Below are 26686 nucleotides of genomic sequence, written 5' to 3'. Positions count from 1 at the left end.
GGATATTTGAAGGAATTTTAAGTTCTGTGCCAAAACAGGGTCTTGCAGTTTCTTTTTTGCTGGAGACCTCAGAGTTCTTCTATCAAAGCCTATGGTTGCAGTTCGTAATAACTGACACTCAATTTCTAACAGTTTTTTTTTTTCCTTTTTGAGACAGTTTTGCTCTTGTCACCCAGGCTGGAGTGCAATGGCGCCATCTCAGCTCACTGCAATCTCCACCTCCCAGGTTCAAGCGATTCTCCTGCCTCAGCCTCCCAAGTAGCTGGGATTACAGGCATGTGCCACCACGCTTGGCTAATTTTTTTGTATTTTTAGCAGAGATGGGGTTTCACCATGTTCGTCAGGCTGGTCTTGAACTCCTGACCTCAAGTGATCCACCCGCCTCGGCCTCCCAAAGTGCTGGGATTACAGGTGTGCGCCACTACGCCCGGCCTTCAGTTTCTAACACCTCTCAAGTTCTTGATCATTTCTCAAGCTGTTCATTTGCTTCTTCCTCCTTCTTTCTATAAGTAGTAGATGTTGATCATAGGTAAATCTAGCAGAACTGAAAAGTGTAAAGCAGAAAAATTTCCGTGATACCACCAGGCAAAGGCAAGCATGATAGCATTTTGTTGTGTCATATTTCTTTTCCATGTCTCAGTGCTTCTAAAATTGGGATGCATATTGTCATCAACAGGTGCATTTAATGTAGTCTTCTTTTTTTTGAGAGTTGTTCTTGAATCCATGGTTAGGCTTTATTTTCACCTGCCACAAACAGTCAGTCTGATAGTCCTTTCAAGGCAGTGTGGCTTTGAATTATAAAGTGCATGATATGAAATAATATTGGTTCTTTGCTATGATTTCAATGCTGGTAAATACAATAATTCAGTGTGTTCCAGGAGTTACCTTATTTACTCTGGTGAATATTTAAAGACACATTTATGCAGCAACTCTATCAGTGTGTTTGTTGCCTTTGACTAAGTAATTCAATTTGACGTAAATACTTTTTGGTTGGATTTTTTGGCAGAAGTGAGTGGCTGGAAAGTCAATTTAATCTTATCAATTATTTCAGAACATATTTATCTTTATTTTTGTGAGAGAGGGTTATTCATACGCAGCAAGATAATGGCTAATGGATATTGTCCCCTTTGTCAGTGTTGTGACCCACTCGTAAGGTAAGACCTGGAAGTCCCAGTGCTATGAGTCTGGGTGTTCTGTAGCTCAGTAATCCAAGTTGTTTTGTTTTTTTTTTTCTGCTGAGCATTGTAATAGTGAAATTAAGTGGAATTTTCTGCCTCCTCATTTGTGAAACCAGCAGTTATTTCCATCCATGACCAACTTTTCAGCTCTCCTATCCGTGCAAGTGCACAGCCTGTGCCAGTAGGTGGTGCTGTGTGCAAAACAAAGTGATAATTTGGGTCCTCAATGGAAATGGAAATCTAAACATGAAAAACCTCTGGCTTTTGCTAGTTTATTTTTCATCTCACATTTCACAAGTCAACATTATTTGACATATTTCTCATATGAATTGTTGCTTCTTGATATTCAAATCAGAAATATCGCAGCTGAGATAATGTTTGTGAGATCTCTCAGGTGCACATGAGATTGATGTGCTCACATTCACAACTCCTGGATTTACATAGACCTTATGTTTCCCATAGGGATGCAAAACCTCACTGCCTCTGGGTGCTCTGGCCACCAGGCAGGGATATTCAAGTATCCTGGTTGGTAATGGAATGTTTAAAGTGGACCCTCTCCGTCTCACCCCCTAGCCCCCAATACCTAATCCTGAAACATCAACAACAACTTAGGGTTTGGCATTTACTAGCATTCCAGATAGAGAAGCTAAATAAGCCCAGGAGTGGAAATGGATGAAACAGAGTTCCGAGACTGGGCCCCCAACTCATGTTTGGTTGCCAGGTGACTCTGGCAAGTGCTCGGACTTAGCATCTTCATCTATAAAGGGAGGGAACTGGACTACTGAGTAGTCATTGCGTTCTTGGATTTTGCCATATTTAAGTTGTATTTGAAGTGTTTCTGAACTTATGAAAGACTTCATGAAGTTCCAAAAAAAAATAATAAAACAAAAAATAAACCAGCAAATAAAGCACCAATCAATGAAGCAAGCGTTCTATCCAAGTGCCATAAAAGTAAAATAACAGCTGATTTTATCTTTTGCATTGTTTAGCCAGCTTTGTGGGCTTATTTTATATAATTGCGGTAACTAATACAGACAGGGCCAGAATACTCCTGGCTCATTTGGTTCACTACCTGCACTTTGGGTGTGCCAGGAGTGAGGTGTGAGATGTCTGCAGTCTGGCCATTGGGCCTTTTGGCTTTGGGTTATTTTCAGGGCTTTTTAACTTAGTTTCTTAATGTTATTCCAATAGGGAAGCAAGTGTCAAGAAGTGATACCATTTCCCCGAAAGTGGTGCAAACTCAACATGGCTATAATGTCTATACTTTATTCTTTAAAAACACAGAAAATGGATCATATTAGTTGCTATAAATGTACAATGTTTGTCGTCAAATCATCTTGCTTCCCACAGCAGATGCTCAACACTTTCCTCTGTTGAAAATTCACCTCCAGCCATCCTTTGCCTCTTTCCTACCCTCCCGCCCTTTTCACTGCATCTCTGTGCCCCCTGGCTCATTCTTCCTTTCCTTTGGCGTGAATATTTGCAGAGATGTATCTGCTCACCTTATGCCTCCCATCTCTGTCTCCATCTGTGTTCTCCTTTCCTGATGCCTCTCTGTTGCTTCATTCCACCCTCTGGGTGCTCTGGCAGGCCTCCAATTTGCTCTGCATTTGATAGTTTGACAAAACTTGTAGAGAAGTCCAGAGTTAAGAACCAGCACCCAATAAAAGACCTGCAAAGATTAAGTTCTAAAGATGTATAAACCAATGAAGATCAAATACTTGAAAGGATAAGAGATCATTTCTTCGTAAGAAAAAAGAAATAAAACCAGTCAGATAAATTAATTCACTAGACTTTTACTCATACATGCTATGGAAATTTTTTTTTTGAGACAGAGCCTTGCTCTGTTGCCCAGGCTGGAGTGCAGTGACGCGATCTCGGCTCACTGCAGCCTCTGCCTCCCGGGTTCAAGGAATTCTCCTGCCTCAGCCCCCCAAGTAGCTGAGACTACAGGCGCCCATCACCATGTCTGGCTAATTTTAGTGTTTTTAGTAAAGACGGGGGTTTAGCCATATTGGCCAGGCTGGTCTCAAATTCCTGGCCTCAAGTGATCTACTCACCTCGGCCTTCCAAAGTGCTAGGATTATAGGCCTGAGCCACCGTGCCCAGCCATATGGAAATTTTCGAACACATTTATAGTATATACAGATTATTGGTTGAGGCTACTGCATCTCTTTATTACTCTATACACTAGTGACATTTATTTGTCTTTGATTTTTTTAATATTGTCCAATTATTGTCATGACTATCAGGTTTTTAAAAACTTTTTCTAAATTATCTGCAAAATCTGCTCTGAATCAACAGTGGAGTGTCCGTTCTACACCTTACCTGTAAACATAGTCTTTGTGGTGTGCTGGAAACAGTTAATAACTGGAGAACAAAAGCACTGATTTATAGCATCTGCCAGCCAATTTCCGTGGTGTAAATCCTCCCACCATGGTTTTTTTGTTTGTTTGTTTGTTTGTTTTAGATGAAGTCTCACTCTGTCACTGAGGCTGGAGTGCAGTGGCATGATCTTTACTCACTGCAACCTCTGCCTCCTGGGTTCAAGCGATTCTCCTGCTTCCTGAGTAGCTGGGATTACAGGCGCGTACCATCACGCCCAGCTAATTTTTTGTATTTTTAGTAGAGACAGGGTCTCATCATTTTGGCTAGGCTGGTCTCAAACTCCTGACCTCAGATGATATGCCTGCCTCAGCCTCCCAAAGTTCTGGGATTACAGGCATGAGCCACCACGCCCGGAACCACCATGGTCTTTCACACCACCAATGTGACATCACTGAACATGGAGTTGGGAGGAGTTGTGCAAAATTGGCTCTCACAGTAAGAGTCGGCTCCAGGCCTGCTGTCTACAGCCCAACTTTGCTCTCAAGCCTCGTTTACCAAAGCCATGGCCATCATCTGAATGATTCATAGTGTGTTCATTCTTTGGAGTAGTCTGGATCTGGTGCTGGACCAGGCATTCAACTGTGTGTACTTGGGTGACTTTCTAACTTCTTCTCACCTTATGACAAAATTCCTTTTCCTGAGAACTATTTTGGTCTCCCCTTTTTGTGGAGAGAAACCTGGATGAAACAGCCACATCAGAGCCATTTCTGTTTGCTGAGGGCATGTTGATGAGCACCCCATCCTTTCCATTCTTCAGTGACTCTTCATGGGAAGCTATGTATGAGAAAGTTTTTTAGAGTTAGGTGAGAGGTACTTTGCTTTCTCGTAGGAACACTTGATTTTATCCTTTTGCCTCTGGCTGTAGCTCAGAGCCAAATGGACACCCTGCTGCTGCCATGCACAGCCTTGGCCTGTGCATGTGGCTTTATAGCAGTGTCTGAGCAAACTAAAAATGATAAATTTCATTCATTTGATGTTATTTCAGTGCTCCCTTAAATCAGTTCCTTGGTGGAAAAATGAAGCATATCTATAAACATAATGAAGAAGTTAATTGGAAAGAAAACAGACTAGTGTTTGTGCCAACACTGCACTTCATCTATGTCTTCACATCTGCCACTCACAGGCATCTTGGGAGGCCAGTCACATGCTGCGCCCAGTCGGCAGTCAGTGCAGAGAGAGGACTGGGTCTTGGTCTGTGTGTCCCAGAGCCTCCCTTGTTTACCCTAGCCCCGGCGCTCCCTCTGCACCAGCCCTGTGGCCCCGACACCTTCCCACCCTTCAGGCTTGCGGAAGCCCTCGCCGTCCCCTCTGCCTTTAATACCCTCTCTCAGATGACCACGGGCTCCACCCTCACCTTCAGGTCTTTGCTAGACATCACCACCTACTGAAGCTTCCATGGCTGCTTGAACATCTGCTTACCCCACCACTTGCCTGTCTTTCCTGCTTTTTTTTTTTCCTCCTTCATATTTGTCACAACATAGTATATGTTTGCTTATTTGTCTTATTTGTTGCCTGTTTCCCCATAGGAGGGCAGAGAATTGATTTTCTGTTTCCCAGTGCCTAGAAGAGTGCCTGACACCTAGTAGTTGCATAGTAATGTTTGTTGAGTGACTGATGGAGTGAGCAAATGAACAAGTGCTTCACCCGCCATTCTCTCTTATCTCCTGCTACTAAGGAGCAAAGTGAGTTCCAGGGTTTCATGCTTCACGCTGCAAGCAGCTTGAGTTTAATTCCTGCAGAGTACCTGAAATCTGAATGAGAGAAAAATTGGCAAGAAAACATGCTTTTGTTCTCACGTTTCATTGTTCTTGTTGATGCAGAAGCAACTTTTTATTTTTGTTCTTGCATTAAGAAATGCCAGAAACTGCTTGGGTGGCCTGAGAAACATCGCTGACTGGTGGGACTGGAGTCTGACCACACTTCTGGATGGCCTGTACCCGGGAGGCACCCCGTCAGCCCGTGTGCCGGGGGCTCAGGTGAGCTTTCCGTCTCCTCTTCATAGGAGATCATCTCAGAAAAGCTATCTTGCAGTGGGTGAAACAGTCACTAATGCTGAACTGCAGCACTGCATAGGTTCTTGAATGACCATGCAGGTGTAAGGCCGGTGGCTCTCCAGTGGGTCCCAGCAGAGCATCCTGTTCCTTTCCTGCCAGAACCCATTGGCCCCATCCCATTACACCCTGCTGAGCTGCACGGGATTCTCCAGATTCCTGTGCTTCCCAGGCCTGAGATAGACACAAGGGCTATGGCAGAGCCTCAGGAGCCCTCAGGCTGATGGGGTGGGAGGTCAGGAAATGGAAGATTCTAGTTCCGTGTGCAAAATACCCTGACAAGGAAACACAAGAACCACCCCAAAACAGAGGAAGTGCAAGGAAGCTTCCAGAAAGAGGTGAGGTTGATCCCAAGTTCGGAAGAAAAAGTTAATATGCATTTTGCATAATCCCATTCCTTGCTCAGCTTTTATTTTCAACCCCTTTCCCATGTTTAAAAATGAAATATCCTGGGCGCGGTGGCTCACACCTGTAATCCCAGCACTTTGGGAAGCTGAGGCAGGTGGATCACGAGGTCAGGAGTTCGAGACCAGCCTGGCCAACATGGGGAAACCCTGTCTCTACTAAAAATACAAAAGTTAGCTGTGTGTGGTGGCGCGTGCCTATAATCCCAGCTACTTGCAAGGCTGAGGCAGAATTGCTTGAACCTGAGAGGTGGAGGTTGAAGTGAGCCAAGATCATGCCACTGCACTCCAGACTAAAAATACAAAAATTAGCCGCGCGTGGTGGCACATGCCTGTAATCCTAGCTACTTGGGAGGCTGAGGCAGGAGAATTGCTTGAACCCGGTGGGTGGAGATTGCAGTGAGCTCAGGTCACACCACTGCACTCCAGCCTGGGCAACAGAGCTATTCTCTGTCTTTAAATTTAAAAAAGAGAAATATATTTGTCCATATTCCTTGAGCAGTTTATTTATAATTTTATTTTGTTGTATTCTATATAGTCTCTTGGGTTGATGACACTGGAGAAACTTTCAAAAAAGATAAAAGAGAGCATTCTCATGTGACGAAAGTTACGAACACCATTTGAACGTTAACCCTTTTCCAGGACAAGTCTGGGGAGGTTGTTGCTGCCTTCTTAGAATGTTGGTTGTATCCCTAAAATGGTATTGGAAGGAAAATAAAACTCTGACCTCTATGGTAGCAGGTGGAGTTACCCAGAGCCCCACGCCTTTTGAGCACGCTTGATGAGGAGGTTTGAAGTCCACAGCACACCCAGTCCTCATCATCTTTTTTCTCCTTTCAGCCTGGAGCTCTTGGAGGAAAATGCTACCTAATAGGCAGTTCCGTAATTAGGCAGCTAAAAGTTTTTCCTAGGCATTTATGCAAGGTAAGATGTTCCTTTTCCTTTTGCTTCCAAGAATAAATGGAATTAGAGAAGTCTAGGCAACATTGGGGCAGGACCCTGGCAGATCATTTGAACTTCTCTGTGAGTTCAGTGGTAATTGGAATTGTCAGTGCCGGGGCTGGGGAGAGGGCGAGCCTCGCCCTTCCTTCCTTCCCCTTTATGAACACTTTCCCAAAGCCTCTTTCTTCCTTGACGTTCTGCTGCAGGTTTCTTCAATTCACTCTTTGGCCTTAGAGACTGGCATTCTAGGCAAAACTAGGATTTTTAATCAAACAATCTAAAAATAGAATATTCACATATCTTTTTCTAATGGGGAGGGTATGCCCTGAGACAGGCATTTTACCTGGCATCTCATGATGGGGAAGTCTTCAAGTGGTCTAAGCCTTAGAACCATACACAGCTCAGATGCCAACCTTCTGTGGGTAGAACCTTGATCCTGTAGCTTGAGCTAGAGTCTGTAGACCACGAAACAGGCTGCAGAACGATCCTATGAGGAGAGAAGGGTGCCATGTTGCAGGACAGAGCAGGTGTTCACATGTGGCCAGGCCTGGAGACCCCGGATTGCAGGGTAGCCTTGGGAATAGTATCTGTGTCTTCTGACTGCTGGTTTGTTCTGCAGCCTCCCAGGCCATTTTCAGCACTCATCGAAGACTCTATTCCTACATGTAGTCCCGAAGTTGGAGGCCCTGAGAACCCCTACCTGATAGACCCAGAGAACCAAAACGTGACCCTGAATGGTCCTGGGGGCTGTGGGACAAGGGAGGACTGTGTGCTCAGCCTGGGCAGAACAAGGTCAGTGAGATTCGAAGGGCCGGGGCTCATCCTGCCTGCCACCGCCACTCCAGCTCTGGTGCCTGCTGGACGCAGCGCATCTGCAGCAGGTGCAGCCTCCTGACAGGCCTGCGAGGTCAGCGCACCACTGCCAGGGGCTCCAGCCAGACTTGTCATTGTTGTGAATGATAGAAGCATCACACAGGCTCAGGCCTCCACGTGGGAGAGCACAGAGCAAACGTTCTTTCAAAAAGTGGTTGCTAGAACATCTGTAGCTCATGGAATATAAGGAGCATTTGTTGCATGCTGACCTTGTGCCAAGCTGGGTGTTTACTGTCTCATTTAATCCTCACCTAGCTCTGTGGAATAGGCCCTGTGCTACTTTTCCCATGTCCTGAGGGTGAGGGGTGGAGGTTCAAGTGCGTAACAAGCACGACCCCATGTTGCAGCTAGGTCTGAGGTCAGGCCGCCTGCCCCATCCAGCCAGTCACACTGTTGTCCACAGCCACCCGTGGCTCCCCAAGCAGCATGCACCTCACACTGGGTTGGAGCTGTGCTGACCCAGTGGTAACACGGATGGTCTTAGAGCAACGGGGAGGTCTAGACAGTTACAATAATGTGAGCCTTTGAGTAATACTCTTTAAAAAGGAAATGATTTAATTGTTACTAAATACGAGTTAGTATTTAGTAACTGCCTTCTCCCAGCTTGTTTGTTCCAAACAGTGGGGTCTCTAGAAAAAAAAAGAACAATGAATATTCTAGAGTCCCTGGGGAGAGAGAGTGGACATCTCTGCCTCACATGGGTTGGGGTGGGAAATGGAGGCCTCCGTTCTCCAGGTCCCTCCTGCCTGAGGGTCCCCTGGGCTGCTGCAGGGAAGAGGGTGGGGCAAGGAGAGAGGACAGAGGGCTATTGATGAGGTCTCTTAGATACAGAGGGCCATCTGTCCTGCCCCTTGAAGCCCAGGCACTGTGTGTCCTTGCAAAGTCTAGCATAGGGTGTTCCCAGCATGGGACCTGCAGCTGGGAGCCTCAGTAGACTTCTGTGCCTTTCTCCCTGCCCTGCCCTACCCCAGTGTGTGCTGTTTTACAGGACTGAAGCCCACACAGCCCTGTCCCGACTCAGGGCCAGCATGTGGATTGACCGCAGCACCAGGGCTGTGTCTGTGCACTTCACTCTCTATAACCCTCCAACCCAACTCTTCACCAGCGTGTCCCTGAGAGTGGAGATCCTCCCTACGGGGAGTCTCGTCCCCTCATCCCTGGTGGAGTCATTCAGCATCTTCCGCAGCGACTCAGCCCTGCAGTACCACCTCATGCTTCCCCAGGTGAGCTGACCTGCCTCTTGGGCCTCCTGGAGGTGCACAGGAAGATGGGGCTTCACCTGGGCTGGGCTTCTCCACCAGACAGGACTAGTTCCCTACCCATTCACCTGCCCCTCCGGTCACACTCTTTGTCACATCCCCTTCTTGCAGCAAGCATCACACTAAGGGTTGGGGCATGAGACGAAGAAGACCCCCAGTGGGGAAACCAATCTTCACATGTGTGGCAAGGGCAAATATAGAGCTGTCTTGAGGTACCAAATTCATCACGGGGGAATTGGGCCTGATGTTTAGATCCCCCCAGGGATTTAGCTCAGGCTGCTGTAACAGAATAGCCTACACTGGGTGCTTTAAAAAGAGACATTTATGGCCAGGCGCGGTGGCTTATGCCTGTAATCTCAGCACTTTGGGAGGCCGAGGTGGGCGGATCACAAGGTCAGGAGTTCAACACCGGCCTGGCCAACATGGTGAAAACCCATCTCTACTGAAAAAATACAAAAATTAGCCGGGCATGGTGGCATGCACCTGTAATCCCAACTACTTGGGAGGCTGAAGGCGGGAGAATTTCTTGAACCTGGGAGGCGGAGGTTGCAGTGAGCTGAGATTGCGCCACTGCACTCCAGCCTGGGCAACAGAGCAAGACTCCGTCTAAAAAAAAAAAAAAAAAAGAAGGAGACATTTACTTCCCACACTCCCAGAGGCTGGAATTCCATGATCAAGATCAAGCCTGGTGAGGTTCTGGCGAGGTCTCTAGTCCTGGGAGATGGCCGCCTTCTCACGGTGTGCTCACAGAACCTCTTCTTTGTGGGTATACACAGGGAAAGAGAGCAAGAGAGAGCTGTCTAGAGTCTCTTTGTGTAAGGACACTAATCCTATAGGACCAGAGCCCCAGTTAACCTTGATTACTTCCTTAGGAGCCCCATCCCCACATATATCCACACTAGGAGTTAGGGCTTCCACCTGTGAATTCAAGGGAACACAAATCTTCAGTCCACAGTACCCAGGGTCTTGGTGAGATGGAATATGTCCACATAGCTTCACTGAACAATCCAAAACACCAGAAGTCACTCTGAGTTATTCCTTGGGAACTTTCCTGATTTTCTGCCTGTAGTTGACTTTTCTGCTATGAAGAACTAAGTCCTGCTGACTCTTCAGGTCAAGGTTACTTTGCTTTAGCAGTGAAGAGAGGGGAGTCCCAAGAGGTTTTAGACTCTAGGGACTGTTCAGTGACCCGGTAAAGGCTGAGATTTGTGTAGAGCTCAGCTCGCGCTGGTGTGGGCGCAATGGAGGGTGGGAGCATGGGCCACTGGTCAGGGTCTGCCTGGGGGAGACACATAAAGTACTTACCTTGGGCATCAAATTTAAGGGGCACCACAAATACTTGGTAATCAAGGTGAACAGTATTCTGGTGCAATATTTATAAACATCAGAATTCATATCAAAAAATCATATTGGACAAAATATGGAAATTGTAAGCAATGGCAGGATCAGTTTTCCTGATAGTTTCTTTGCCTCAGGCTCCAATAAGGCTCAGCACAGCACTGCTGTTAAACACCTTGCAGCACCCAAAAGTGAACCCTGCTTTGATTATGTGTGTAGCTCCTTACAGCGGGCCAATGGGACACAATGCACATAACTCCAACAGAGGACAGAGAAGATGCATAAAGCCCTGCTGATGTGCTTCAGTTCCTTGCAAATCCATAACTAAATTTGAGTTTGGGTTAGTGATTAAAGGCATGAATCAACAGGTAACTCACCACTGGAGAGAGAATCACATAGAGAACTTTAAGAAAGTGCTTATAAGGGAGCTTTAGAAGACTTTACTTGGCTGAGAAAACTAGTATATATATGTATATATAGTTCATATGTTATCTATTTCACATGTACACAGAAACTCACTCTTTTGAGCAGTGCCAAGGAAGGACTGGAGGATCAGCATGGAGGTCGGGAGGCCTGGTGGCCGTAGATGCCCATACTCCGTGCTTTCCCTGAGTGCAGAGACCATCTTGGGTTCTAACCCCTGGCATGGAGTTTCTGTGAGTGCTTGACTTGTGGAGAGGCACCAAACACCCCAAGTGCCTACTGAAGAGCAAGTTTAGGATTAAACCTCTGCAGAACAGGAAATGGGCTTGCATCCTAGCTACTCAAAGGTGATTGGCAGGGGAGCTGGTCACATGTTTAGACCTTCAAAAAACAATTTATCAGCATTCCTATTGATCTTGTTTGTTTACATTCTCTCCACCAGCTGGTCTTCCTGGCACTCAGCCTGATCCACCTCTGTGTTCAACTCTACCGTATGATGGACAAGGGCGTCCTCAGCTACTGGCGAAAGCCAAGGAACTGGCTGGAGGTAGCCTCTCTTGTGTCATTTTCTTTTGAAAAATAACAATAAACTGTTTATATCTTGAAAAAATAATTTAAATAAGAAATTGATTATGCACTAGCTACTGCCAACATTATTGCAGTTTTCTCCCTCTGTAGTGTTAATCTCAAAACAGCATTTGAGATCAGGTATCATTTAGTGTTGTTACAGTTACCGTCATGTACCACACGAATTTCAGCCAAGGTGGTGGTCCCATAAGATCTTATGGTGCTAAGAAATTTCTGTCACCTAATGACATCTTGATTCTGACCTTGTATGTAGGCCTAGGCTAAATATGTCTGTTTGTATCTTAGCTTTTAATAAAGAAGTTTAAAAATAAAAAATTAAAACAAAATTTTTAAAAATAGAAAAAACTTTTGGAATTAGGATATAAGGAAAATATTTTTTGTACAGCTGTACAGTGCATTTGTGTTTTAAGCTGTGTTATCATAGAGTCAAAAAGTTTAAAAAAATTAAAAGATTTTTAAGTAAAAGGGTTACAGTAAGCTAAGGTTAATTTATTACTGAAGAAAGAAAAACGTGTTTACAAATTTAGTGTAGCCTAAGTGTGCAGCATTTATAAAGTCTACATTAGCGTACAGTAATGCTCTAGGGCTTCACATTCACTCACCACTCACTCAGTGCCTCACCCAGAGCCACTTCTGGTCCTGCAAGTGCCATTCATCGTAAGTGCTGATACAGGTGGATCATTTTTTACCTTTTGTACTGTATTTTTACTGTATCTTTTCGATGCTTAGATATAGTTAGATACACCAGCACTTACCATTGTGTATGATTGCCTCAGTATTCAGTACAGGAACACGCTGCACAGGGTTGTAGCCTGGGAACAATAGGCTGTCTCATATAGCCTAGGTGTGTGGGACTGTCTATGTTTGCATAAGTGCACCCTATAATGTTCCCCCAAGGACAAAATCACCCAGCGATGCATTTCTCAGAAGGCATCCCTGTAGTTAAGTGACTCATGACTGTAACTTACAAACGCGTGTCACATGGGGTGCCAGGTAAGCCCTTCCTCAGGAGCCATCTGAGGGCCTTTCTCTTGGATGTTCCAGCTCTCCGTGGTTGGAGTGAGCCTCACCTACTATGCAGTTTCCGGCCACCTTGTTACTCTTGCTGGAGATGTCACTAACCAGTTTCACAGAGGACTTTGCCGAGCATTTATGGACCTCACCCTTATGGCATCATGGAATCAGGTACACGGTGTGCTCAGGGCCATGCAGATAGAGGCCATGCACTGTGATGCCATCCAAAAGGCAGAGGTCACACAAACTCTAGAAGGTGCGAGACAACAGATTTGTTTGATATCGAGAGATGATGCTCTGAGCTGGCAGATGGGAGTGGCCAGGACAGTGAAGGGCCTGAAGAGCTTGAGACATGCTTTGAACACTGGGGTATGTGGATTCTGCGTGGAGCAGAACTCAAGAGCCTGGAATTCCCCCAGTGCCTCCAGGGGACGCTAAGGGGCACAGGAAGCAGGTGTTGATGCAGCATGGAGGAAGGAGGCTAGCGCTGACTTGCTTAGACACACCATTTTCTCTCTTCATTCTGGCGACAGTCATAAATGCAGGCAGTATTAGCCACTCTGCAAGTGAAGACACCAAAGCTCACAGAGTATCAGGTCCCTCAATAGAGAGAAGTCTGGTTTCAAAGTCCCTGTACCTCCTTCCCCTAGGCAGCCCTTCCTGCAGGGAATGGTTCCCCACAGGGATGGGGGCTCCTACCAGGAGGACCAGGCAAATGTGCACAGATGGGCCTGGACGAGCCCTGGGGAGGGGGCTGATGAGATGGGGCAGGATCCCCCCACAACAGCATGGGACGCTGCCTTCCTGTGGTGGTGGAAGATGAGCCCACATACTCTGCCTCCTTGCCCTGCTGCCCTCAGATCTAGCCCCTCCCTAACCCCCTTGTCCTCCTTTTCCCATCTAGAGGGTGGTCAGGGCCCCAGGGCCACCCCCAGGGCTGGGTGAGTCCTATAGCAACCTAGAGAACAAGGGCCAGTTCCCCTCCATCTTCAGGCCCCTTCTCCCCAGGTCCATTCATCTGCCCCACAACCTCCCTCTCACCCCTTGGCTCCTGTCCGCTGTGTAAGGAGAACCAGGCAGGATGAGGCTCGTTTCCTCTACACTTCTGCTTCCTCCACCAGTGCCCCAGTCCCTGCCTCTTTGTTGGAGATCATTTTGTTGCAAGCAAGAGAAACTCCCTAGGCTAGAGGAAAGAAACAGGTTCTAAAGGAGCCCAAGCAGAAGATTTGGCTTTTCTCCTGAAGTGAAAGAATACATGAATCTGATGAGACAGAACACTCGCACAAGCAAGGCAAAGCAACTGTCACTCACAGATTGGCAGGGACAGCAGAAGCCTGGGCTGCATGGTGAGCCAGTGCCCCCACCTCAGGAAAGCTGACCAGGGTGGACAGAGTCCCGTCTGTGTGTGTCCCGACAGAGTCCCGTCTGTGTGTGTCCCGACAGAATCCTGTCTGTGTGTGTCCCGCTTGCACCAGTTCAGAGAGCCTGGAAAGCTGCCTGCCCTGAAGTTTCATAAGCTGGGGGAACATAACATGCTGTGCTAAAGTGTTAGAGGGCATCCTCTTCTTGGAGGAACATGACCAGAGCCCACGCTCTTCCATGTAGTTCCTCCTTATCTCCGGATATTGCATTCCTAGCACATTCAACAGTTATTGTGAGAACTATAAGCAATAAAAGGGGAAGAGCTGGGCTGGCCAAGGCCAACCAGGGACCTGTTCTGCAGGCACTTATCAGCATCTAATGAAATCTGCATTAAGCAATTATTTGGTTTACTGTCTTCCCCCACAAGGCTGGAAACTGCAGAATAGAGAATGTATCTATTTTGTTCACTACTGCTCCCCTGGTACCAATATTAGGGCCCGATGAGGACTGGCTGCTTAATTTATTGGCATCTCTCTCTGGGACAGACAGCAGGCTTCCTGGTCTACCTTTTATAGTATAGCTCTGCTAGTCAACCCGCTTCCTACTATTTGAGTTCTGGCTTACCCATGTAACTGTAGTCTTGCATGGTCCTGTGGGCTACAATGCCGACATGCCTGACACTCCCTTGCCTGTGCTTAAAGGCCCACAGATAGCGGCCAGCTTTCTGTCTCTCAGTGCACAGCTTACAAGAGCATCTGATTAGTCACTGATTGGCCAGCAGGTGTGGGCCTCAGGAATAGGGGGCAGAGTGAATGTAGGATGTTCTTTTCACCTGATGCGGACAGGGGAGGTTTTCTAGAAGCATGACTAGGGCAAACATGAATCTGGTCTACATACTGACCTGGTGACTTGCAGTAAATAGCCTCCTCCTGACTTCTGACCTTGGGAAGTGAGTTCATCCTTATATCCCTTTTCCCCACTGATGTCCTATCTTTCTCATTATGTTCCCTGCCCCTGCCAGAAAAACTTACCTGGGGAGAGCCCCTCTTCCCTGGGGATCCTTTCTAGGGCAGATGCCAATTTCCAATTCCTCAATTAGCTTCTGAGAAGAGCTGACATGTATTGAGGTTAGCTCCTGCCAGGCACTGCATAAATTCTATATAATCACGTGTATGTTGAGCTATCCAACCATCTAATGAAACAGGTACTAGTATGCCACCCATCTAGACCGAGGCTCTGAAAGGTTAAGCAACTGGCTCAAGGTCACTCACATTGATATAGGAGCTGCACTGGAATTGGCCTCTGGTCTTGGGGTCCTGGGTAACTGCATTCCTAAGCACAGAACTATAATGCAATGGAACGGCCCTCCAAGGACATGGTCCACATTGTCCTGACCCAGGAGTGCTCAAGGCAGGAACCTGTATCTCACACCATTCAGCTCTGTTGCTGTGTTGCTGTGTGTTCAGGGCCAGCTTTTCAGAAATGTGCAGTGTAGACCATGTTTGTCTTCTGAGGTGCCCTCATGTACCCGTCTCTGTTCTGGCACCTTGGCCTCTGCCCACACTACGGCTTTCCCTCCTAATTCCACTTCTGTGGGCACCTGTTGTGCTGTTTGTCAAATTATTCTCTGTAGAGACAGTTAGAGGAATTTAGCTCTAACTTCAATGTAGGCTGCATCCCAGGTGCAGGAAGAACGAGTCATCTTCAAGATAAACACAAATGACTTTCTAATGATGGAATTTAACACCCAGGATTAAAGAACTATGATTTGAGTGTGTGAAAATGAAAATGCACAGGCTTTAGAATCAGCAGACCTAAAACTCACTCCCAGCTCCTCTTTGACCATGTGCCATTGGGCAAGTTTCTTAACTTTCTTCAAGTCTTAATAAGGTAGAACTATGATACATACCTTGGGGGTTTTGCTAGGATTTGAATGTGTGTGTGTGTGTGTGTGTGTGTGTGTGTGTGTATTTGTACAGGCACATTCAAACATATCCTTGGAACAGCTTGGCACCTAGCAGATGTTCCATAAATGAAAGTCATAATAATGGCAATTACTCAGAAGGCTTTATGGCATCCCTCAATCAGATGGAGGCAAGAAAGCGGCCCTTCCACTCTGTCCACAGGAGGTTTATAGCCGTGTTGTCCAATAGTCACCACTAGCCACACATGGCTATTGAGAACTTCAAATGTGGCTAGTCCAAACTGAGATGTGCTGTGAGTGTAAAATACTCACTGGACTTCATAAACTTAGTATGAAAATTAAAAATGTGCTGGGCGTGGTGGCTCACGCCTATAATCCTAGCATTTTGGGAGGCCAAGGCTGACAGATTGCCTGAGTTCAGAAGTTCAAGACCAGCCTGAGCAACATGGTGAAATGCTGTCTCTATTAAAATGCAAAAAAAATAAAAATAATAATAATAGCCACTATGGTGGCATGTGCCTGTAGCCCCAGCTACTCGGTAGGCTGAGACAGGAGAATTGCTTGAACTCACCAGGAGGCGGAGGTTGCAGTGAGCCGAGATCCTGCCACTCAAGCCTGGGTAACAGATTGAGACTCTCTCTCAAAAAAAAAAAAAAAAAAAATTAAAAATGTAAAATATCTCAATAATTTTTATGTTGGTTACATATTGACATGATGCTATTTTTTATGATTTTACATGTACTATTTTAAACAAAATATATTATAAAACAAATTTACTCTGTTTAATTATACTTTTTAAAACATGGCTACTAGAAAATTCTACCCATAGCTTGCATTGCATTTTTCTTGGCCGGTGCTGGCTAAAGCCCCATTCATCCCCCATTCAACCATGTGCGGCCCTGCCTGCTCTGAAGGGAACCCGAGGGGTGACAGCCACTCACAGCTTCTCTAGGTTTTGGTTGTCAGAAGTCATTGTTGACTTTGTCCCAATTACTGAGGAAATAAAACAAACAGAAAACCTTGATTCATTGCCCATATAGATTTTAAACCATCCAGCTGTCATTTCTTTTCTCTTGGGCTTATAATTTTGGTGAGAGCATATGAGATCATACACCCAAAAGTACTTTCCCCATAAGCCCCTGGTAGGGAGGGGAGAAGGGAGCAGCCTTCCTAGAGGCCTTGTGAATGTGGACGAGTCCATAAGGCTGTTTGCCCCTGGGTCTGCCATGCCCCCCAGTTGTACTATGTTTGTCTGTTCACACTGTTTATCTGAGCCGTAGACTCTAGAGATATAAAGTGGAGTGCCTCCCGTATTTGCAAGGATTACGTTTTTAAAAACCTACTTGGAAAGTGTTGGTGCCCTATTCTGTACATGTATCTGGGGGAAAGGAAATAAGCATGCACTAAATACTTCTTTGAGTCCCCTCTGTGGTGATGATTTTCTTATAGCCCAGTAGACTGAGGCGCAGACAGGGAGAACAGACGTGGGGTGGACAGAGTCCCATCTGTGTGTGCCTGCTAGACCTGCTCCATCCTGGTGTTCAAAGAAATGGCCAGGCCAGAATTCAGAGCAGGTCTTCTCAAAATGCGTTACGATTTGTATTTACCCCTAGTTCCAACTCATTCTCCTCTGCAGACATCTGCACTTGATGTCCCTCGGAGACTCATGGGTCTATATAACATCATCAAATCCAATGAACTCTTTATGCATGACTGACAGCTGTGAATATGTCTGCACCTTTCAGTGACTGGCATGGCACACTGACTGTTATGTTCTTCTGTCTCAGAGGGCTCGATGGCTCCGGGGAATCCTCTTATTCCTCTTCACATTAAAATGCGTCTATCTTCCTGGCATTCAAAACACAATGGCATCCTGCTCCTCCATGATGCGCCACTCACTCCCCAGCATCTTTGTAGCAGGGGTAAGAACTCTCCCCTTTATCAGGTGATTTCCCTTGTAAACCATTGATCTGTGTACTCGTCAGCCTTTCTCAAGGGAAAAACAAACTGCTCTCAAGGTTAAACACCGTCTAGAATTCCAGTCTTCTAATCCCTTACAGTGTGGTTTTAGATAACTGATATCAATAGTTACATAGTAAGTTATGGTCATGACAACAATAACCATGATTTAGGAAACACTTGCTCTGTACTATACCTTACAACAGCATGTTATTATTACTAATATAAGTAGTTATTATCACCTACTGAGCTTTCTCTAAGTGCCAGGAATGGCACTTTGGGCCTCTCATAGATTACTTCGTTTAACTATCACAACCAAGCTATGGACAGGCACAGTTCTTCTTAGAAGATTCTCAGGATTTCCTGTCTCAAACAACAGGGCACAGCCAAGTCTTCATCCAGGGCTAGCCCTGAAGTCTGGTCTGGAGGGTGAAGCTCCGAATCAACAGGTACAGAGTACAGCTTGGAGCCCTGATGAAGTTCCTGGGGTGCTGTTGATTCCGATCTGGTCCCAGCAGAGAAAGAGCTTTCTCCAACCTGACAGGCCCTAGTACAGCAAAGAATTGCAATCAGGGCTGAGGGAAAGTCTAGGCCAAGTGCCCTGAGTTAGGAGGCTCTGGCTGTCAGGATCCAAGCCACACAGGACACCAAGCACAGGTCTCCTGCTCCAGGGAAGGGGTTCTGCAAGCCCTATTCACCTTACACTGGAGGAACATGCTGAGCAAACCAGGGCAGAGAGAACGAACCTGAGAGTCAGAGAGAGCAGCATTTGAACCTGGCTGTCCCACACTCCAGCTCACTGTTGCGAGCACCAGCCATTTGCCCAACCTCTGCCTCCAGAAAAAGCATTAACGACATTTGCCCCGAAGGTTACTACTGGCCTTTGAGATTATATGCATGTAGAATTTATGGAGTGATTAAACTAGTCATTATTAAGACCATTTAGCAACATGCAAAACTGCTTTTTTTTTTTTTTTTTTTGAGATAGAGTCTCGCTCTGTCACCCAGGCTGGAGGGCAGTGGTGCAATCTCGGCTCACTGCAAAGCTCCGCCTCCCGGGTTCATGCCATTCTTCTGCCTCAGCCTCCCGAGTAGCTGGGACTACAGGCACACACCACCATGTGTGGCTAATTTTTTGTATTTTTAGTAGAGACGGTGTTTCACCGTGTTAGCCAGGATGGTCTCGATCTCCTGACCTCGTGATCCGCCCGCCTCGGCCTCCCAAAGTGCTGGGATTACAGGCATGAGCCACCACGCCCAGCCAAAAATGCTTTTATGTAAGGAAAAAAAAGCCCAGAATATAAATAATTTGTGTCCAAATTAAGTAGCAGAATTCTAACTGTGCAGCAAGTATAGATGCATAGGCATCAAGGGGAGACCGGGAGACCACACAGCTCAATTTGTCCAGTTGTAGACTCATAGATTGTGCTTTCTTTCTTCTGAGTTCCACTGATGTCTGATTTCACTTATGGAGTAAGTAATACTAAAACGAGTCCTAGTGCATTTGTAGGGAAGTCTTTGGGTACCTGTCCAGGCTTGTACATGAATCCAGCAAGCACCCACACAGAATGCAGCCCATGACTATAGCTGCAGCTAGGTAGGGCCTCTCTGTAGGCCCGTCCACAGTCTACACACACAGCCCCATGTGGACCTATGGGACGACCGCCTGATGGTCTGACATCCAGGCTGAAAAAATACTTGTCAGCACCAGGGCTGGTTGGAGCAGATGGAGTGAGAAGCATGAACGGAGCCAGTGATACAACCCCTCAGATCCCAGGCCAAGTTCCCAGTCTGTTACGACAACCAGGACCATGAAACTTAACCTGAACCAAATCTACATCAAAATTGGAAAGCCTTCCTGATGCTTCCTAAGTGATTTATTTTACTAAGCTCTGGCCAGGTGCGGGGGACATAAAGATCATGAGGGAGCTGCCCCCTCATGGCAACCATGGCTTCCTAAGGGGGCCAAAGGCCAGGGGAGCAGGCCGCTTGTCACCATAGGCAGAGGAGGCAGCTGAGGAGAGGAGAGGGCACTGGCAGGAAGAGCCCTTGAAAGGGAGGAGGGAGACCAGCCACAGTGTGGGAGGCTGGTGGGGTGGGAGGAGGGAGGCCTGGGAGATGGGTGAGAGGGTGACATACGCCTTTTGGGTTCAAAACCAGGGATGACATGATTGATCCACACTCCCAAAACTGCCCCTCCAAGTTTGTCTCTATTTTCAACATTTGGAAGTTGAGTCTTCCACTCCTAAGAAGAGGTGACAAGGTCAGTGCTCTCTGGATTTTCTTTCTGCAGCTGGTGGGGGCACTGATGCTGGCCGCCCTCTCCCACCTGCACCGATTTCTGCTCTCTATGTGGGTTCTACCACCTGGCACCTTCACAGACGCCTTCCCCGGGCTGCTGTTTCATTTTCCCAGAAGAAGCCAAAAAGACTGCCTCCTTGGCCTTTCCAAGTCTGACCAGCGGGCCATGGCTTGTTACTTTGGGATCCTTTTAATAGTCTCTGCCACACTGTGTTTTGGAATGGTAAGTAAACACATCCCCAACTTTCAAGTTATGGTTTGTAAAAGTTTCATTTGCTGTTGGGGTGAAACTCTGGTCCATGTGGACAGGGCCAGGCAACACAGGCCAGATCTCATGGTAATGAATCCCTGCCGTCCAGCTCACCTGCCCTGGGAGGTCAGGTCCGTCAAACACAGTTGGTTTGACTCTCCCTTACTCTAGAATAGTCCAGCACGAGAGCAGCCACCCCAGGGTGCCACTTCCTCCAGGAAGCTTCCCTGGCCCCCCTCACTCTGCACTGAATCACATCATTTCTTACTGTGAACTTCATCTGCAATCTCACACTGCCTCAGGGGTATCTGTTGCCTTTTCTCAGTCTTTCCATCTTATCAGAGTTGCACTCCCATCAGCCACCTCCACTGGACGTGTTCTCCAGGCTAGCGGCTGAAGGAGGAATGGCTCCCTGTTTCACGCCCTCCTACTGACCTGCCACTGGCAAATCTAGTCATGTCATACATGGCTTAAACTCCTTCAGTGGAAGAAGAGTCTCCCCCATGGTCTTGTCCTATTGCCTGGACTTGGGGTCAACAGATTTAGCAAATAAAACTGGAACCCAGTTACAGTTAAGTTTCAGTAAACAATGGAAAAGTTTTCAGTATTAGTAAGCCCCCTGCAGCAGTTCAGACATATTTATGTTAAAAGTTATTTGTTGTTGACCTGAAATTAAAATGTTACTGAGTGTCTTATATTTTACCCCTCCCTGCCGAGGCTCCGACCTGCTCTGCCCAGCCAGACCCAGGATTGCTATGCCCACATCACAAGGGTGGGACTCATCACTTCTATTTCCAGAAGGCCCTACAGGTGTTCCTATGGAAGGCTCAGGGTTGGGACCCCTGCTCTGTGCTTGACTAAGCCTATAGGCATGCTGTCCACACTTACTGAACATGCCTTCCCTCGGATCCCTCCACTGTGACTCGTTCAGCGTTAAGTTCTAAGACAGGGTCAATGTGGTGTTCCCTCTAGAAGCTCTCCCAGCACCGATTCTCCCCTGGACCCCCAAAGGCTCTGAGCATGCCTCCTCATTGCACCCATTGTCTTGTGCTATTGGTTTTTGTCTGCTTTTGAACTCTAGCCACATTCCTAGCAGGCATATTGGTGTGCCTGCCTTCTAGGGTAGTAGTTCCTGACACATTGTAGAGCCCACTGCAAGTTCAGTAAATTTAATATTCAAGCTTTGTAAGTGGATAAAAATTCTCTGCAGTCCTTAAAAGTCTACTGGTATTCTAGTTTAGTAGCTAGAGGGAAACTAAAAGTGATTGCTCATGTTCACACCTTGACAACACTCAGGCCCGAGTCCTTTGCTTTTATCAATGATCCTAGCTCCCTACTCTTGCTCATCCATGAATGCATAAATCCATCGATCACCCATCCACACACCTACTCACCAAACTAGTTACCTGTCCACCTATCCACCCACCCATCCATCCATCAATCCACTCATTTGTTCATTCATGCACTCACTCATTCAACAAAAAACTAAAGAATGCCCATTATATTCAGGCAATGGCGAAACAAAGATAATAACTGCTTCCTGCCTCAGGGAGCTCACAGTCCATAGGGGAAGACTGGCATATACAAATAATTGTGGCAATTTTTATATTTTGAATACAGTTTTTAAATTGGATATGTGATTTGTAAATCTGTAGCTTCTCCTTTTATTCTCTTAACAGCATCTCTACAGAGCAGAAGTTGTAAATTTTGATAAAGGCCAGTTTTTCAATGTTTTCTTTTATGGATTTTGCTGTTGGTGTCCTGGCTCAAATGAATTGCCAAACCCAAGGTCACATATTTTCTCCTATTATTTTCTTCTAGAATTTTTTTTGTTTCTTTGTTTTTGGTTTTTTTGTTTTTTTTTTTTGAGACAGAGTCTCACTCTGTCGCCCAGGCTGGAGTGCAGTGGCGTGATCTCAGATCACTGCAACCTCTGTCTCCCAGGTTCAAGTGATTCTCCTGCCTCAGTCTCCTGAGTAGCTGGGATTACAGGCGTGTGCCACCACACCCAGCTAATTTTGTATTTTTAGTAGAGACAGGGTTTCGTCATGTTGGTAAGGCTGGTCTCGAACTCCTGACCTCGTGATCCTCCCGCCTCAGCCTCCCAAAGTGCTGGGATTACAGACGTGAGCCACTGCACGTGGCCTTTCTTCTAGAATTTTTATAGTTCTATGTTTTACATTTAGGTTAATCATCTGTTTTAAGCTAATTTTAATGTAAGATGTGAGGTATGGAACAGAGTTCCTGTTTTTTATAAATGAATATCCAATTTTTCCAGCACAATTTTTTTGAAGAATATTTACTCCATTGAATTGGCTTTACAACTTTGTCAAAAAGCAATTGACTGTATCTGTGTGGATCTATATCTGGGTTCTCTATTCTACTCCATTGATCTTTCCTTTAGCCAATCCCATGAGGTCTTTTTCACTCTGTGGCAAATCTTAAAGTAGCATGGATGAGTCCTCCAGCTTTGTTCTGTTTTGACTGTAGGTGTTCTAGCTCTTTTGCCTTTCAATATGTTTTAGAATCATCTTGTTACTATCTTTTTAAAAAATCATGTTGGTGTTTTGATTGAACTTGCTGTGGAATTATAAATCAAATTTGGGGGGAATTGGCATCCTAATAATATTAAGCTTTTTTGATCCTAGAATTCTGTATTTCTCTCCATTTATTTAGATACTCTTTGATTTTTTTCATCACTGTTTTATAGTTCTCAGCATACAGATCCTACACAATGATAGGCAATTTTAAAGCCTAACTAGAAGTGTCCTCAAAGAGCAAGAAACTTAGATCAGAGACTCATTTATTCTTCCTAGGGAGACCAGGAAATCTTCATACAACAGGAGAGTGAGCCTTGATGAGCAGTTCCACTCATGGTGATGACTGCTGAGAGCAGCATTTTAGACAGGGGGCATGCAGGGAGGGCCATGCTGGAGTTCTGGGTCAAGTGGGCATTATGTTGAAAAGGATGGTTGGAGTCAGGAATGGAGGGCCTTGAATGTCGTGCTTAGGCACCTGGATGCTATCTTCTGAGACAGGCAGGCAATATTGCATTGAGGTCTCTGGGTGGAAGAGTCAGGTCTTGCTGTCTGCCATGGGTGTGTTGCTGGTAAATCCAGGAGGCCTCAGACCTACACACCAATGGCCTACCCTTTCAGGCTCCTGAGCATCTTTGCAGAGTTCTGAAATTTTGTGAGGGGTTCGAGGGATTTGGGGACCAATCAAGAACAAACATATGACCACAAGAGATGATAACACACACAAGCTTTATCTGGGTAATGTTTTGAAGTGTTTCCATGTGGGGGAACTCCCTCATACTTCATGCTATGAAACTGTCCACAGGTTTACAGCGTAGGGGCCAAGAACCATCCAAAAAGGAAGAAGAGCAAGGGCGATCTCAGGGGAGAGGGGCAGCAGAGAGAGAGCTTACCCCTTAGACGATGCTGCTTAGCAGCATGGAGGGGAGGCTCTGGGTCAGAAAGCTCCTGAAGCCAGCAGCAGCTTGGGGCCTTATAACATTATCAGTGGGTAACAGCTGTCCCCTGAGGTTTTGCAGGGTGTGTAAAGCTGACAGGCTCTAAATGGCTAAAATGTTTGTTTGGGTGTTTTTTTTTTTTTTTTTGAGACGGAGTCTTGCTCTGTCGCCCAGGCTGGAGTGCAGTGGCGCAATCTCTGCTCACTGCAAGCTCCGCCTCCCGGATTCACGCCATTCTTCTGCCTCAGCCTCCCGAGTAGCTGGGACTACAGGTGCCCACCACCACACCCAGCTAATTTTTTTTTTTTTTTTTTTTGTAATTTAGGAGAGACAGGGTTTCACCATGTTAGCCAGGATGGTTTCAATCTCCTGACCTCATGATCCGCCTGCCTTGGCCTCCCAAAGTGCTGGGATTACAGGCATGAGCCACTGCGCCCAGCCCTGTTTGGGTTATTTTTTAAACAATTGGATGTGTAAAAATTCGAGTTTGTTACCAGTAGGCTTTTGAGCTAACAGCTTACAGCCTGCAGTGAAGAAATAAACCACCTGGAGGCTTATAGAGCACATGTTGAGGGCACAACAACTTGCTGAGCCCAAGACCCTTTCTGGTCTCCCAGGCACAGGCACAGGCCTCTCTCCTGAGGCTCACCCACAGCTCAGAATGGTTCACCAGGGGACACTGAAACTGAGACACAGACTTTACATATGGGCATGCACATCGCGTTGATAATCTCAGTCTCCAAAGTTAGATACTGAAAACAACCTTTATAATACAATGAATTTCCATTGCTGAGATCATCTTACTGCCATTTAGTTCAATTCAGGAGAGGTATTTTCCTGATTTTGCTTTTTTTCACCAAGAAATCACTATTTTACCAAAAGCTCGTAAAGTAGCATCATCAGATATAATCTCCATTGCATAGTTTATCACGTTAACAAAGCTCTTTATTTAGGCTGCTAACATGAAATTTGTCTTTATTTTTTTCTTTTTCCTAGCTGAGAGGTTTTCTCATGACTTTACCCCAAAAAAGAAAATCTTTTCAAAGTAAATCTTTTGTGAGACTTAAAGATGTCACTGCTTATATGTGGGAAAAGGTCCTCACCTTTCTGAGACTGGAAACACCAAAGTTGGAAGAGGCTGAGATGGTTGAGAATCACGTAAGCTGTGAGATCTTGGATTACTGAGCATGATAGCACACACTCAAGATGATGGTTTCATTGCAGAATTTTGCTTTCAGTTATCAAAGCATGAGTATGTTTCCATGCCAAATCTCCTTGCAAAGCCACAAAATTAGTCTCAATCATAGTGGAACTCATGGAATTTTCCCGTGCAATTCTAAAACACTTTACAGATTACCAAGCACATTCTCCTGCCTTAACTCACTATATCCTTATAGTGACCTGTACAGTTGGAAAGACAGAGTTTATGGTCTTCCCCAGGACACAGACATGCTGTATTCTGTCCCCTGAGTTAGTCATTTGCTTTTGGTGCCTGCTATCAAACCCAAACTTCTATCCAAAACATAGAGCCTTAGGTGCATTACTTGAGTTCAGTCACCCCAGACATGCATGTAAACAAATCAAACCAGGCGTTTGCACACTGAATACTCACTTTCTTCATGGCTGATATATTAGTTTGTTTTCATACTGCTGATAAAGACATACCCAAAACTGGGAACAAAAAGAAGTTTAATTGGACTTACATTTCCACATGACTTGGGAGGCCTCAGGTTCATGGTGGGAGGTGAAAGGCACTTCTTACATGGTGGTGGCAAGAGAAAAATGATCCAGATGCAAAAGTGGAAACCCATTATAAATGATCAGATCTTGTGAGACTTCTTCACTATCACAAGAATAGCATGAGAAAGACCAGCCCCTATGATTCAATTACCTCCCACTAGGTCCCTCCCACAACATGTGGGAATTCTGGGAGATATAATTCTAGTTGAGATTTGAATAGGGACACAGCCAAACAATATCATTCTGCTCCTGGCCCCCTCCAAATCTCATGTCCTCACATTTCAAAACCAATTATGCCTTCCCAAAAGTCCCCCAAAGTCTTAACTCATTTTAGCATTAACCCAAAAGTCCACAGTCCAAAGTGTCATCTGAGACAAGGCAAGTCCCTTCCACCTATGAGCCTGTAAAATAAAAAATAAGTTAGTTACTTCCTAGATACAATGGGGGTACAGGGATTGGGTAAATACAACTGTTCCAAATGGGAGAAATTGGCCAAAACCAAGGGGTTACAGGCCCCATACCAGTCCAAAATCCAACAGGTCAATCAAATTTTAAAGCTCCAAAATGATCTCCTTTGATTCCAGGGCTCACATGTAGGTGATGCTGATGCCAGAGGTGGGTTCCCATGGTCTTGGGCAGCTCTGCCCCTGTAGCTTTGCAGGGTACAGCCTCCTTCCTGGCTGCTTTCATGGGCTGGCATTGAGTGTCTGTGGCTTTTCCAGGTGCACAGTGCAAGTTGTCAGAGGATCCACCATTCTGGAGTCTGGAGGATGGTGGCCCTCTTCTCACAGCTCCACTAGGTCCCTTCCACACTGCCCTAGCAGTTCTCCATAAGGGCCCCGCCCCTGCAGAAAACTTTTGCCTGGGTATCCAGGCATTTCCATACATCTTCTGAAATCTAGGCTGAGGTTCCTAAACCTCAATTCTTGACTTCTGTGCACCCATAGGCTCAATACCACATGGAAGCTGCCAAGGCTTGGGGGTTCCACTCTCTGAAGCCCCAGCCCAAGTTGTACAATGGCCCCTTTCGGCCATGGCTGGAGCAACTGGGACACAGGGCACCAAGTCTCTAGGCTGCACACAGCACGGGGAACCTGGGCCCAGTCCACTAAACCACTTATTCCTCCTTGGCATCCAGGCCTATGATGGGAGAGGCTGCTGTGAAGGTCTCTGACATGACTTGGCGACATTTTCCCCATGGCCTTGGGGATTAACAT

The 26686-nt window shown here is 46.1% G+C and overlaps 1 protein-coding gene and 1 long non-coding RNA gene across 4 annotated transcripts in view; one reads left to right on the top strand and one right to left on the bottom strand.

The window, feature by feature from the left end:
* Positions 1-26686, top strand: part of PKD1L1 (polycystin 1 like 1, transient receptor potential channel interacting) — a 186293-nt gene that overhangs the window by 140031 nt on the left and 19576 nt on the right. For both annotated transcript variants that reach the window (XM_017011798.3, NM_138295.5), the window contains 9 exons: positions 5419-5542; positions 6862-6945; positions 7583-7755; positions 8825-9059; positions 11299-11403; positions 12489-12629; positions 17532-17666; positions 19997-20227; positions 24726-24887. In XM_017011798.3, coding sequence (XP_016867287.1) covers positions 5419-5542; positions 6862-6945; positions 7583-7755; positions 8825-9059; positions 11299-11403; positions 12489-12629; positions 17532-17666; positions 19997-20227; positions 24726-24887 — 1390 coding nt within the window. The remainder of the gene's footprint in view (positions 1-5418; positions 5543-6861; positions 6946-7582; positions 7756-8824; positions 9060-11298; positions 11404-12488; positions 12630-17531; positions 17667-19996; positions 20228-24725; positions 24888-26686) is intronic.
* On the bottom strand, positions 1029-25585 carry PKD1L1-AS1 (PKD1L1 antisense RNA 1). 2 transcript variants are annotated; one of them, NR_161269.1, is made up of 4 exons: positions 25433-25585; positions 7307-7450; positions 2681-2850; positions 1029-1369 (listed from the first exon to the last, which is right to left on the bottom strand). It is a non-coding gene; the product is annotated as a PKD1L1 antisense RNA 1 (long non-coding RNA). The 2 variants fall into 2 exon arrangements; NR_161268.1 differs by lacking the exon at positions 7307-7450.

Source organism: Homo sapiens, chromosome 7 (genome assembly GCF_000001405.40).
Source record: "Homo sapiens chromosome 7, GRCh38.p14 Primary Assembly".
Lineage (NCBI taxonomy): Eukaryota > Metazoa > Chordata > Mammalia > Primates > Hominidae > Homo > Homo sapiens.
This window is presented reverse-complemented; position numbering and strand designations above follow the sequence as displayed.